This window comes from Homo sapiens, chromosome 2, assembly GCF_000001405.40.
Source record: "Homo sapiens chromosome 2, GRCh38.p14 Primary Assembly".
NCBI classification, from domain to species: Eukaryota; Metazoa; Chordata; class Mammalia; order Primates; family Hominidae; genus Homo; species Homo sapiens.
Window position 1 is genome coordinate 238,591,546 of NC_000002.12, and position 15,497 is coordinate 238,607,042.

At 47.5% G+C, this 15,497-nt stretch overlaps 1 annotated feature.

The window, feature by feature from the left end:
- Positions 8,291-8,806: an enhancer, noted in NCBI's record as "H3K4me1 hESC enhancer chr2:239508477-239508992 (GRCh37/hg19 assembly coordinates)". NCBI's record gives its function as "activates a minimal SCP1, AML or CMV promoter by ChIP-STARR-seq in primed H9 embryonic stem cells {active_cell/tissue: H9 hESC(primed)}" and the evidence as "EXISTENCE:reporter gene assay evidence [ECO:0000049][PMID:30033119]".

Below are 15,497 nucleotides of genomic sequence, written 5' to 3' on the forward strand. Positions count from 1 at the left end.
GTTAGCTGAGCGTGGTGGTGTGTGCCCGTGGTCTTAGCTGCTCGGGAGGCTGAGGTGGGAGGATTGCTGGAGTTCAGGAGGTTAAGGTTGAAGTGAGCTGATATGGTGCCACTACACTCCCGCCTGGGCAACAAAGCCAGACCTTGTCTCAAAAAAAAAAAAAAGAAGTAGAAACGTTAGGTCAAATGATGTGCATTTTTTCCGGTTGTGATAAAATACACATAACAAAAATTTACCATCTTAACCATTTTCAAGTGCACAGGTCAGTGGCATTAACTATGAATACAGTCACATTGTTGCACTACCCTTATCGCACTCCACCATTCCTCCACAGAGGAGAGCTGGCTTGCTTCTAGAATGCTCATCAAATGCCTGGCACTTTGCCAGGGTTTCACATCTCTTTGCATTTTGGACAGCAGAGATTCTGTCCCCATTAAACACTAACTTCCCATTCCCTCTCCCCCACAGCCTCTGGCAACCACCATCCTAATTTTTGTCTCTATAGATTTGACTCTTCTAGATATCTCATATAAGTGGAATCATATAGTATTTATTTTTCTGTGACTTACTTCACTTGGCATAATTTCTTCAAGTTTAATCATGTTGTAGCATGGGTCAGAATTCTTCTCCTTTTTAAGGCTGCATACTATTCCACTTGGGTGGCGTCTACCTTTTGGCTGTTGTGAATAGTGCTACTATGACCATGGATGTACAAATATCTCCTCGAGACCCTGCTTTCTATTGTTTTCGTACATATCCAGAAGTGAAATTGCTGCATCATCTGGTAACTGTACGTTTAATTTTTTGAGGGACTGCCATACTGTTTTCCACAGCAGCAGGACCATTTCGCATTCCCACCAACAGTGCACGAGGGCTCCAGTTTCTCCCCATCATTGCCACCACTTGTTATTTTCTGTTGGGTTTTTTTTTTTTTTTTTGATAGTAGTCATCTTAATGACTGTGAAGTGGGATGTACATATTTTTAAGGCTTTGAAATCAATTGCTGAACTGTACAGTAGAAAGGTAATACTTGGCACTTTTACCAACAATGGATAGAGCACTATTTCCACCGTCCCTATGAACGCAGAGTACCCCTGCCAGTTTTTTGATGAGTATTTGAAAGAGGAAGCGTGCACGTGGTGTGGTAAACCCAGAGGACTGTGCCTACCTGCCCAAGAGGAAGACCTGGGTTTTCTCTGGCTGAGACCACCAGCTGACTGGCCCTCTCAAGTTTTAAAATCCTGCGTTTAGATCAACTCTGAAGCTCAGCTTCACGCATTACCTGATGTGGCCGATATAAAAAGAGAAGAATATCAGATATAAAGAAACCGTATATTTACATACAATTAGAAGCAAATATTTAATGCAAGCAAATGTTTTATAGGAGGTGAGAGAAACTCCTGTAAGGACCAGAAAAATAAGCTGAGCACTCCCAGGAAACAAACCTGTGTCTCAAAATTTGGTGTTAGCCTTTGATGGGAAAGAAAATGAATCAGTTTCTGCTTTTCCTTTGTTTCATTTCTATTTTTTTTTTTTTTTTTTTTGAGATGGAGTCTCACTCTGTCACCCAGGCTGGAGTGCAGTGGTGTGATCTTGGCTCACTGCAATTTCTGCTTCCCAGGTTCAAGTGATTCTCCAACCTCAGCCTCCTGAGTAGCTGGGATTACAGGCATGCACCACCATGCCTAGCTAATTTTTGTATTTTTAATAAAGATGAGGTTTCGCCGTGTTGGCCAGGCTGGTCTCAAACTCCTGACCTCAGGTAATCCATCCGCCTCATCCTCCCAGTGCTGGGATTACAGGCGTGAGCCACCACGCCCGGCCCTTTGTTTCATTTTCGAATTTGAATTATGATTGTAGGGCTCTGATTCCCCAAACCTTCACAACTTAAAACCAAGTGCCCATCTCACGTACCCCTCCTCCCCCAGCAGCCGGGGCCTCCCTCCCTCCTGGCCACACTCTGTGGCACGACCCTCTGAGCGTGGTCTTCCCTGTTAGTGGGGCAAGCCCTGGAGGCAGGGTCTGTGTCTTGCTCTCCAGGAATGGCCTGAATCTCCTCAAGTCCTAGCCCAAAACGTGATTCACAATCTTGGCTTAAGGTAATCCTAATGCTTCTAGAATGTTCTTCAAATGCCTGGCACTTTCCCACCTAAATTATCCCATTCCATCCTTTCAGCCAGCTTATCAGGTGAGCACTACTATTCCTCCTATTTTATAGATGAGGACGCTGAAGCGCAGAGAGGATAAGAAACTTGCTCAGTGACACACAGCTGGTGAGGGGGATCTGGGTTTGAATTCACACCTTCGGGCTCTAGTGTCAGTGTTCTGAACGTACACCCAGCAGTGCCTCTGACATGATGAACGGATGAGACGTTCAGTGAGGAGGGAGAGCAGGCACCAAAAGCCTGTATCGGCTATAACCAAGTAAGAGCAGCCTTGCTAAGTAGCAGTCGGTCTAGAAATCAGTTCTATTCGAAGACTCCTAATTGGGCTTTTCTGGGTGATGATAACCTTCTTGGTAAAACTGAACCCCAAGTTCTTTGGCCTGGTTGCCATTCCCTGGCTAGCACCACGTATTTACGCCTTTGTGCCTTTTCACATGCCTCGGCTTCTCCTTGGAAATCCTGTTCATATCACCCTTTTCTTCTGCAACTGAAACTTGCTATTTGTCATTCTGGGCTTAGCTCTGATTTCACCAGTTCTGTGGCTCCATTCTTAGCCATCGCATCCCTTCTCCTCTCCTTGGTCTCTCAGTCACGTCTCCTACCTCAGTTGAAATTCTTCCCACTAGTCTTGAGCGTAAATTAGTTCAACCATTGTGAAAGACAGTGGGGCAATTCCTCAAGGATCTAGAACCAGAAATACCATTTGACCCAGCCATCCCATTACTGGGTATATACCCAAAGGATTTCCGATAAATCATTCTACTATAAAGACACATGCACACCTATGTTTATTGCAGCACTATTTACAATAGCAAAGACTTGGAACCAACCCAAGTGCCCATCAGTGATAGACTGGATAAAGTCTACCCCTCTTCCAGAAAGTTTGTGAATAACCCACCCCTTATTTAGCATATAATTAAGAGTGGGTATAAATAGAGCCAGCCAGCAACCCACAAGTGCTACTCTGGGCCCCTCTGCCTGTGGGATAGCCCTGCTCTGCCAATGAAGCAGCCATCTTGCTGTTCACTACGCTATATAAACTTGCTTTCTTTCACTGTTGGCTTGCTCTTGAATTCTTCCCTGAATGAAGCCAAGAACCAACTCAGGCTGAGCCCCCGTTTTTGGGTTTGCCTGCATCACCTGCAGTGGAGATGGTTGGTTGTTTACCAAAATCATTTCTCCCTTCTCTCTGGACATACTGCTGGACTACATTTCCCATCCAACATGACAGGTGGGCACGGCCTGACGACTGGATTGTCCAACAAAACACAGAAAGTGTAGACAAGAGAACAGCAGAAAGTGACGCCTGCAGCCACAGAGATGTGCTCCCAGTCTCCCTCTTTTCTGACTGCTGGGGGTGCACACCACAGCGAGGCCCAAGGGCTGTGATGGAGGCCTAGGATGGAAGGTGGCTGGTCCCTGAATTACTTCTAGGAGAGGCACCATCTGCTGAGCAGGAACCCCTGCCTGGGACAGTTGCAAGAACAAGAAATCAGCTCCTTTTGTGCCAGAACCAGTATGCATGTTGAGGTCCAATCCTACAGTTAGTGATGTGGTAACAGAAATGAGCTTTGTGCTTCCATGCCCTGGGCAACTGCAGGCAGCTGAGGCCCCCATCTGCAGGTGGTCTCTGCAGGCAGAGGGTTTCTGGTGAAGGGCCCTATGGGGTTTCTGATGAGGGCCCCACAGAAACCAGAATCTCTTCCCTGCTGCTTATTTCAAATTCTGCTCGGTTGTCCCTTCCAGGCCAGGCGGGTAATCTTGCTTGTGGCCACACTCCTCTTCCTGGGACCTGAGCCTGCCCTCCTGCTCCTGAGTAGTTCATTGTGATGCTGTCTGCTGTGGCTGTGGAGTGCTACGCGCTGGCCAGCCTGAGGGCGACCTGTACCGCCTTGGCCAAACCCTTTACCCCACTGAGAGATACCTCCCTCATCTGCAGCGAGAGTCCCTACCTTGTAGGGCAGTGTGAAGGATGTCCTGAGATGGTCAGGACTTAGCACCCTGTAAGCACAAGAGCTGTTCTTGGTGGCGTTATGATCACACCCACAGATAGGGCCTCAGGCAGGCCTCAGTGTCCTCCTGGCTGGCCACGTGCTACGGATGTCCCCATGCACTTGATGTGTCAGCAGCAGAAGGACCTTCAGGAGGAGGCAACGATGGGATGAGACGAGGCTCAAAGGAGGATGTTGCCGCGCAGAGACGTTTCGGGAATATGAGGCAGGTCACCACCTATGATTCTTGTGGTAGTGGAGGAATGGTGGCGGCTGTCATTGTGACACCCACTTTAGAGACAGGAAACTGAGCTTCAGAGAGGGGGAGTCCAGGCCCCACAGCACACAGCCAGGAAAGGGCCGGGCAGAAGGGGCTTTGGGTTTTAACCTAACTCACCCCGACTGCCTGCTTCTTCACCCAGCCATCATGGAACGTCTCTGTGCCTCTTCCCTGCTCTCGTGGAGGCCTGGGTCAGGCAGCTGCCCAGAGGCAGACGTGCACTGTGACCCTAGAAGACTGTTCCAGACAGGCCAGCCCAGGCAGAGACAAAACAGGGACCTGCTCCTCATTGGTGTCACGACCAAATGCAGGGGATTTGCTAAGGGAGGCGCAGCCATGAATTGGGAGCCAGCTTCGTGCTCTGCCACTCCTTCTTGCTAATCCCTCGAAAATCCAATCAGAGCTGTTTCCCTCCATGAAACCAACTGGACACAGCACATACTGGCCGGACCTCTGCCAGCATGGAGTGGATCTTTTTTCTGTTTAAAGAACCAGGTTTCAAATGTTCTTAATAAAACGTTTATATATATCATGCAGGGTGCAAATAAATATTTTAATATAATTGGAAGAATGTAGAGAATTGTAAAAAGTTATGGAAGTTTTACTTCTGATTGGCCAAGACTCAATAAACTCTGGTTTGATGTACTCTAATTTATAGGCGTGCAAAGCCAACTCTTTGGCATCAGAGAGGCCGTTAACGTTGTAATGATGTTTAAACGCTGACAAATGAGCTGCTTGGGCGGCACCTTCAGCCCTGAGAATGGAACTGTTGGAGCTGGAGGACTTGCCTGTCCCCAGCTTTCTCCCTTCCTCCCGTGCTGGTGGAGCAGGTTAAGGGCAGGAGGACTGTTCATTGGGGCGACTGCTCCCCATCGGTTGAGGGGAGGGCACAAAGGGGACCCATGGCTTCTTTTTCACTGTTGTCCCTAATTATGGTCTTTCTCATTAAAATAACAAGGACCATTTCTGCTAGAAACGCTGACACATGTTTTTACTTTTCTGGGCCGATGGAAACCACATGTAGAATCCATTCCTTCCTTTTTTCCCTCCAAAATGCAAATGGAAGAGCTGGTCCAGGGGGTCCCCGGTTGCCCAGCCCTGAACAGAGGCTTGGGGAAGCCCCCTACTCCCACGCCAAGACGTGACTTGCGCTTCTCTGGGCACTTTGTGCCAGCCCTACCAGGGAGTGCTGCCCCGCTCCCCAGGTCTCCCTCTGCTTGCTGGCACTGGGCACTCCCAGCAGGCATAACCCGAGCAGAGCTGAGTGGTTATTTATAAACTCTCTTGAATGCCAAAGCGCCAGGAACAATCCATTCCCCCCGTTTGCAGGAACATACTTTCAGCATAACTCATCACTTTGAAGATGGGTCCAAACTTTTGTTCACATTTATTGACAGGAAGTTGTTTTTCAAAGCTCAAGTCAGCAGGCAGGCCCCGGGCCAAGAGGCTCCGCCACCTCAAGCTGGCGCGGCTCTGAGGGCCCATAAATTGTGTTAGCCTCCCACCCACCCCTCTCTCTCCCTTTTTCCGCTAGAATTTGCCCAGAGGTTGAACATTACGTTTTCCCTTTGTAAAGTTTCTTCTTAAACTTTTTCTTTCTTTCTTTTTTTTTTTTTTAAGAGAAAATCACCTATTGGAAGTGTTAAGAGGTTCTTTTCCTCTCTGAAATTCTAACCCTTTATGGTGCTCTTGAACTTCCTCTTTCCCGCATAAGCCACTCTGAGCCCTCCTTACTGCATGAAATTTCTCGGCCAAGGGTCCTCCTTCTCATCCCCCTACTTGAGCCTTGAAGCAAGAATGTCCTCCCGGGCTCTAAGAGCTCTGCCTCTCCCCAGGCCTCTCTCCCCTCAACTGGGAATCAGGAATCCTAGGGCAGGTTGTCCCAAGGCCTGGAGGGGCCATCAGGCAGGAGGACTCAGTGATGTGGGGTCTCCTGTGGCTTCTTAGCTCTCTACTCACCCCACACATTTACCCTTTGGGGCTGACCTGGGTGTCCATGACTTATAGATCTAATCCTCCCCCAACATCCCACTAATGTTCCCAAATTGTCCCGCCCCCAGTGGGACCCCTCCATTCCCCTTTAAATAGACTCTTCTCCCTACAGCCCTGAGCTCTTCCAGTTACCCCAACCAGGGACCTGGGGGTCATCCCAGACCTCTCCCAGATTCCTGCCCCTGGTTGGGCACTGAGTCCTAAGTGTTTCTGTACCAAATTTGTCTTCCTACCCCTTCACCACTGCCTGGTTTCAGGCCCTGCTCCATTTTCGGGGTCACTCCCAGACCTCGGCAGGCCAACTTCTCTGTGTCCCAGATGCCTTTTCTGTAAATCGGGGCAATGTCAGTGCCCACCCCACTGCGTGGTGGCAAGCATTTCATGGGCTCATGTTTGCAAAGCACGCAGGATGGCTCTGGGCATCTTAAGTGCCACAGGTTGTTCTCCTGCTGCCGCTTTTCTTGGGTCTCTGGGTCACCCTGTCACTCTGAGTCAGTCCATTCCTTATGCAGCCACCGAGAGGACCTTGAAACAATGCACAGCACATTCTGCCATGCCTGTGCTTGAACCCTGTGCCCGCTCTCAGTTCCCCGTGGGATCCCCCATCCCTGGCTCTGCCTGTCTGCCTCCTGTGCCCCGCTGTGTCCAGGGGCTCTGGCCTTTGGAGTTGGCCTTGTTCCTTTCTGTTTCTCCCCTGGTCATTCCCTCCCTCTCCTTCCCTGTGAGCCCCTCTGGAAGGTGTTCCTGACCCTCCACTGTCCCTTCTACCCTGTCCTGGCTCAGAGGCCCTTGCCTACCCCCACACAGGCGTGCCGTGTACTCTGCCACGAAAGCTGCAATTCTTTCTCACGATCTCTGTGTTTTCCTGCGTTTGGAGACAGGGTCTGTGCCTCAGGGATCTCTGGGCCCACGGTGCCCAGCACAGATTATGGGCATAGTAAATAAATGCTCATCTAAAACGTGTGAATGACAAAGACCAGGAGACAGACCATGGCGCATGCGTGAGTTAGGAATTTCCCCCATGACGTCACCTCTTTGACTATTCTGATTTTGTCTAGTGATGGGTCAATCCATTTTTTGGTTTTTAACCTTGACAAGAGCCCAAATACCAAAATGAACTGTCTCTGTGTACTGATATCATGTGAAACTTTTCAAACCCAGGAAGCATTGGAAGCTCACACTTTTAGTGGGACCAGGGAGGAGAAGGGAGAGAGGGACATGAGGGAAAAAGGTGAATGGGTCCATTTTGTCTTGGAAGAAATAGGAAACGCAGCAGTCCGTGGAGGAGCCTCAGGGGCCCAGGTGTGGAAGAGAGTGCATGAGGCTTGGATCTGCAGGGGTGCTGCCCCGCGTGGGTCTGCCCGGGAGTCCTGAAGTCCTTGCTGCTGGAGAAGAGGGGTTGTTCTGGAGCTAATGGCATTGGAGCAGTGAGGTCAGATTGCAGGGACTAGGCACAGCCAGTGCTGGGAGGGCTTTGCCCTTCCCGCGGCTTTGTGCATTTGTTTTCAAATACAAGTAATAAGACTCTGGGCTGTTTGGAGCCCTCACTGGAGCCCCTCAGACCAGGAAAGGAAGAGCTGCCGGAGGCAACGGATACTAACCCAAGCTAGTTGATGCCTAACTAAACACCTGCATCTTGGTTTGTTTGTGTGGGAAGTGATGGTTGGACCAGGTGGTCTCTGGCACCTTGTGGGGGTGCCTCACCAGCTGCAGGGCAGGGCTCCAGGCTGGCAGAGCCTGCAGATGTCCCCACCAATGCTGTAGCGATGGGCTGCCACGGATGCTGGGGCAGCAGCCACGATGAGAGCCTGGGGGTTGGCCTCCTTGGGGTAGCCTGGTAGCTGCCAGCCCTGAGTGGCAAGAAGGTGCAGTGGGCTGGCCCTGCACCCCACTGCTCTCCTGTCCCCCACATGCCTCCTGCTGGGGGTCTCGAGGCTCAGCAGCGGCACTGACGGCCTCCGCAGGACCCCCTCCTGCCTTCTCACACTGGGGGCTTCTCCACTCCTCTTTTCCTGGTGCGTAGCGTCCTGCTCTCTGGTCCCTTTCATCGCCTTGGGGGGTGTTCCCTCCACATTCTCAGGTGGAAGTGTTTAAGGCCAGTCCCACAGCCACCCCTCTGGATCTCCTCCACCCCAGCGCGGTGCCCCCTGCAAATGGGGCCCACATGTACAGCAAAGCAGGATGAGGCAGGCCCCGCCTGCCAAGAATGTGGCGCAGCCTCCTGGGCATGGGACATTGAAGGGAGCGATGCATGCAGGACAGCGTCCTCCTCTGCCTGGAGTCCATGGAGGAGACCTCCTCGGAGTGGGAGGCTCCGCAGGCCGCCAGATGCTGGGGAGGGCGCTGGGAAGCTGGGAGGAGGTGGCGGGACGTGGGTGGGGAGGGGCTCCCTGTTGGGGCGTCCCGTCCTGTCCCAGGGGCTGCGGGAGTGGTCCCACCATAGTGGTCTCACCTTGGCCCAAATAGAGGTGGTGTCACCCAGGCCTTGCTGGGGAACATGGAGCTTGGGGTCCCTGGGACACCGCGGAGGGTCCACGTTTCCCCGAGTCCATCGGCAGGTGTGGACACCGCCTTTTCCTTCCTCTCGCCTTCTGCTTGGCTGTCTCTTGAGATGACTTTAGAAATGTAACACCTTGAGAACACTGTATGTTCACTTCCCTTTGAGCCTCATGACGACCTCAGAGAATGAACGCTCCCCCCACGCTGGAGGCTCGGGTGGCTAAAGCCGTCCCCGGGTGGCGATACTGGGTGGGCCTGGCGCCCGCCTGGTCCCCTGTGTGGTTCCTGGCTTACTTCCCCTCCTCAGTGCCACGTCCATCTCACAGACTTTTTTTTTTTTTTTTTTTTTTTAAACTGGTAGTTCCAGATTTGGGGGCAGGAGGCAGTGATTTGGGTGTGAAAATCCGCTGAGCTGGGATTGAACATGATGGGGCTGGAGACTCTCAAATGGGACAGTGGCTCGTCCTAACTCAGAGCCCAGCCCACACCTGTCCCCAGCACCCAGCACCCAGCACCGTGCCCCCAGCGCTTACCCCATGGAGGGTGGGAAGACAGGTGAATTAGTGTAGGAAGGAATAAGGAGGAGTCCCGTTCAGTGGAGAGCAGGCTGTGCGCTACCCCACTGTGGAGAAGGGTTGCACAGGCACCTCCAGGGGTATGTTCTGGCCACTCCGTGCTGCAATCTTGGGGCTGCCTGCCCATCCCTAACATGTTAGACTCAGACTCACTGCTCTTGCATCGTGCCCCAGCCTCCAAGGAAAACCAGCCAGCAACCACAGCGCCGGTTCTAGGGACCCTCCTGGATCAGGCCCACGTGGTTACTGCCCCTCGGGCCTCAGATCAGTGGTTCTATCCCCAGCTCACCTGTCCCTACCCGCCCGTGGTCTGACTTCTGCTTCTGGGTTCTGCTCCTCCTTTGGGCCTCTGATCCTCCTTTGGGCCTTGCCCTGCAAGCTGCTTTGCTCTGGTTGGTCTCTGAGAGGAGCCCCTGCCCCTGGTCCAGTGCGGAAGGAGGAGGCTAGCAGCCAGCGCTTTCCCGCAGCTCACTTGCTGTCTGTGGGCCGACAGGAAGTTCTTCATGGGGAAAGCCAAGAAGCCAAGACTCACATAGCAAAGCCTCCGTTTGGAAGCCGGTGTTAGTCCTTTCTCCTTGAGGAGCAGTTTCAGTCAGTGCATCACTCCAAATGGGTTTGGTAACACTGAGCTTATGGTACAATGAAAATCACTCTTGCCAAGAGAGCAAATGCAGATGAAAGGCAGGGTGAGTCACACGGGCTCTCCATGTCCCTCTTGCTGCACCCCCAGCAGCCTTTGACACAGGAGCCAGCCACAGACAGTGCTGGACCCCAGCACGTTGCCCCAGACTATGCAATGTCCAATTTCTCCAGGCCTCACCTTCTAGGACCCACTTCCCGATGCCTGGACATCTCATTGTTCTTTTCTGGTTTACTTCCAAGCTCTGGGGAATCCACCCTTGGCTAGCATCACTCAGAAATTGCACAACTACCATTTTAAGACAAGATTTTAAGAGCTGTTTAATTTAACTTTTAATGTTGGTTAAGCTCCTATAGGTAGTGTCTGGGACAGTGTAGCAGCAGGAGAGCAAATTCTGGCACCTACCCTTATAAGAATTTATGAACAGTGTTTTCTGCTAAAAATAGTAAAGTTCTAGTTCTGCTGACTACATAACAATGACCAGGGCAAGCAACTTGCTTAATCGCCTCAGTCTCATATATTTTTTTTTCACTCGTCAGAGGTGGACACTCAACTTTCATAAGATAAGTGGCATGAAAATGCTCTTTGAGCTGTAAAAATATTGGCTGATTTACAAATGACTGTTTTGACGAAGGTATTGGAAAGAACTTTTATTAGAAGACAGTGAGTGCTTCCACAGGCACTAACCTCTCTGGTGTTTTGAAAATGCTCCAAAGGGCAAATTCTAGCACTGTGAAAGATTTGAGAGACGGCTACCTCGTTAGCTGTTCTATTTCCTCATTATTATTTTTGGCATCTCAGATGGCCACTGACAGGCATAAAGAGATTATTTCTCCCATATACCCATCTCTTTTTCAGGAATTAAAACTATAGAAAATCTCAGTGGCAAGACTGGGGCACAGGAGCCAGGGAATGGGATGAGAAATGTTCCTTGCAATGCCGGAAGCCCTTTCCCGAAGTCACACATTTTCATGAATAAACTAGGGATGAGTTAAGCTGGATGTTAGAGTTGGATTTATAATGTATGAAATAGTTTATTGTAAATGTTTATTTTAAACCTCAGTTTTCAGCAGTCTGATGAACCAGATAGCCTGAGAAACATCTTGATATAAAATGTCTAGGGATGTTGGCTAAAATACAGCAGTATAATAAACATTGCTCTTGAAAAGATAAGGGAAATCCCTTGTGGAGGCCCAAACCAAAGAGGAAACAGAAACCAGAAATATAAGATAACCGATGCTAGGGCTATGCTGGGGGAAGGCATGGGATGGCAAAGGTGGGAGTTGAGGTTACTTTGTATGTCTTTTTAACTAATGAATTTTTGGATTTTAATGGCCATGCAGAAATAGGAAATGAATCTTTGAGCCCATAAGAGGCTGGAAATTAGAACTGAGTTTCCTATACAAGAGTTGTCTTCTGCCTTTGAAGAATTACACTTCCAATGAAAAGGTGGACCAGAAGAACAATCCAGCCATTGGCACAGGGAAATAACAGAAAGCCTGTCAACCTTGGCCTGATTCTGAGTAGGAGAAAATGGTTGTCCTTGAGAATTTGTATGTAGTGGCTATCCTCAGGTGTATTTGGGGTGTGAATTTATACTATCTGAGTGACATGGAGCCCCCAATCTGAGCAATTTAGATAAAATTAACCCTGGAGCACCTGGCAGGAGAAAACACAAAATCTCTGTGGATGTACACAAAGCATTCCTACAGAAAAACTGCAATGAAGATGAGCTCACAATCCAAAAGTGCCAATCCAAGGGAGAAAAATAAACTCTGAGCAAGTTCAAAGATATAACAAACAGTGGGATTAAATTCCTAAGAGCTTCAGGCAACAATATTATCAAAATAAAGATTATGAGATAGAATTAAAGACACAATGGAAAATTAAAAAAAAAAGAGAAAACAGCAAGCTGCCACCAAGGGAAGACAAAAGACAGGGAAGATTTGAAAAGAACAGAAGGAAATATATAGGAATAAAAATATAGTGATTGAAATTTAACTAAGTCTTTAATGGTTAGGTTAAAAAGCAAATTAGACATAACTAAAAGGAGAATTAGTTAAGTGGAAAATCACTGTGAGCACATGGAAATAAAGAGACAATTTGGAAGCAAGATTAATAGATATGGAGAATAGGACAAGAAGGTCTAATAGAAGCACAATAGGAGTTATAGATGGAGAGAAAGGAGAGAATGAGAGTGAGTCAATATTGAAAGAGATGGTGACTGAGAATTTTCAAAATGGAGAACAGTTCTGAGCTCTCAGATTCAAGGAAAATGTAGTCCTAAATATTAGGGTAGACATAAGGAAATGCATCCCTGGATAGATTAGAGTAAGCTATGTAAGAATGCCAAGTACAAAGATAATACCTTAACAGTAGCCAGAAATGTAAGATGTCCTATGAAGGAATGACAATTAATTTGGCTGCCACTTCTCAATGATGACCAAAGGATAGTGGAATTATATCTTCAAAGTGTTGAGAGAAAATAGAATTTTCTACCTAACTAAACTGTCATACAAGAATTAGGGAGAAAGGATGAAAAACAAAGCATTAGGGAATTTATAACTAACAGAGTCCCAGCTAAAGAACTTCCAGGAATGCACTTTATCTGGAGAAAACTGAATCCAGAATGAAGAAGTGAACCGAAAGCAGAATGGTGAGCAAATAAATTAGTAAACATATGGATAAATTGGAACAGGATTGACAATGGATGACAACAATAATAGCAATGACATTTCACATGTATAAAAACACGTAGGACCTGAAATACTGGATTAAGTATCATGTAAGTTGGGAGGAGAGTGACCCAATCCCCTAGTAATATGTAACGTGGGAGGATAATAATCTAGAATTCCAAAATCATTGAATGATCCCATGAACAATTGAGTTAACTTGAGATCTTGGAATGCTGAGTACACATGTTAAAATTTTAATCATGACTGCTGGGAGTTGGGGAGCGTGATAAAAGTAGAATTTGTAATTTTCAAAACAGTAAAGGAAAAATGAGAAAAGAAACTCTTTAATCCTATTGAACAAGGCGGCAAATGTTTTCTGTAAATGGCCAGATAGTACATACTTTTGGCTTTGTGTGCCATATGGTCTCTATTGTATCTATTCAACTCTGCTATTGTAGTGCAAGAGAAACCATAGAGAAGATTTAAACAAATGAGCATGGTGGTGCACTCCAATTCAACTTAGTTTATAAAAATAGCAAATGAACTGGATTTGGCCTGAAGGGTGTAATTTGCCAATCCCTGCTATAGAAGATAGGAAAAGAAGTAAAAAGCTAGAAAGATAGAAAGCACAAATTAAGATGGCAGAAACAATTCCAAATAGGTTAGTTAACTACAAAAAATGTAAACAAATTGAGTTTTCTGAATAAAACCAGAGACTGATAGATTAAATAAAGAAAAAAATGACTTTATGCTTTTAGCAAGACCAATTCTTAAACAATATGGAAAACAGAAAGGTGTAAAGTAAAAGTGGAGAAATAGATGTGCCAGACAAAGATTGATGAAAAGAAAGGTTATTAACTATATTAAAACACAAAAAAGGCCTTAAAGTAAAAAAAGCATTAGTCAGGTCTAAAAGGATTATTTTAAAATGGTAAAAGAACTAGAATTCACTAGGAAAAATTTATAAACTTAGATACCCCTAAAAATATGGCCTCAAAATACATAAAACAAAATTTGACGGAATTACAAGGAGAGGTTTATAAGTCTACCCTTACAGTGTAACAAAGTAAGTGTATGGATTTTTAAAATACAAATTAAGAATTTATATCTAATGACATATAGAATGTTATACCTAAAAATTAATAATGCATATTCTTTTCAAGTACAAATGCAACAGTTATAATAATCACATATTAGGTCATAAAATACAATTCAACAAATATTAACAAAATGGGATCATGCAGGCCATGTTCTCTCTCCACTATATATTGTTCAAGTAAAAAAATTGAATGAAGTTATACATTTGGATGTTTTAAAGCATATTTGCAAATAAGTCATGATCCAAAGAAGAAATCATAATAAAAAAGACTATATTATAGGCTGAATGATAATAAAAATGCCATACATCCACACTTGTGGAATGCTGTTACAGTAATACGTAGAACAAAATTTATAGCCCTAAATGCATTCATTAGAAAAGAAAAAAGACTGGATACTATTAATCTAATAGAAATTAAAAGAACACAGGATAGGAGGCAGAACTAGCTTGCAGTTCCAGCTCCGATGGACAGAGCAGGGTGTGGAGACTTGGATCATCAACTTTTGCTCCAAAACGACTACTGCAGGAATATACCAGGAAAGCCAAGAGAGCCCACAGACCCTCTGAAGGAATCGGATTGCTCCTGCGGGATCTGGGAGACAGCCCACGTATTGTGAGTGTCTAAGCTGTGACAGTGGAAAAGTGGGATTATCTGTCCCTGAACACACACCCTCACTGGGGAAGCTGAAGGTCTAGATCAGGGGAGAAGGATTTAACCTTACTTGGAGCTGAGTCAACTTAGAGAGCCAAGTGAAATACAGGGGTAGAGGAAGCAGTGGGAAAAGCCCTGTGGGCTCTCTGGGGTCCCCAGGGAAGCCATTTCTTACTTTTCTCACAGGTGTCCTTGGGGAGGCTGCCAGAGGAACTGGGAAAAGACCACAGGGAGAAGGAAACCTCCAGCTGAACTTTGTAACAATTCCAACCAAATGTGAAGTCTCCTGGCCAGAACTCAGGGGAGGGCATAAATCAGATGTGCAGATGCGACAGGTGGGGAGGTGTGAAAATTCTACTTGCTTTCTCATATGGGAGGCTGGTACCCTGGGGCAAGTTCTCAGCCCTGCTGCTCATCGCCTGGAAACAAACTCAGTGCTGTTGGGGCTGAGGCACGGTGGGAGTGGGATAGGCCTTTTGGGTTGTGTGGGAGCTGGGTGAGGCCTGTAACTGCCACCTATCCCCCACTTCCCTGACAACCTTGATGACACAGCAGAGGCAGCCATAATCCTCCTGGGAACATAAGTCCGTTGACCTGGGAACAACACCCCCAACCCCGCAGCAGCAGCAGCAAGCCCTGCCCAAGGAGAGTCTGAACTTAGACACACCTAACCTTGCCCCCACCTGATGGTCCTTCTCTATCCACCCTGGTAGATGAAGACAGAGGGCATATTATTCTCTTGGGATTTCTAGGGCCCCACCCACAGCCTAATCCTCCCTATACTACCACAGCTGATGCTCTCTTGAAAGTGCTACCTCCTGGTAAGAGGCCAACCAGCACAAGAATAGTGCATTAAATAACTAAAACTAAGGACCCTCAGAGAGCCCATTTCACTCCCTTGCCACCTCCATCGGAGCAGGTGCTGGTGC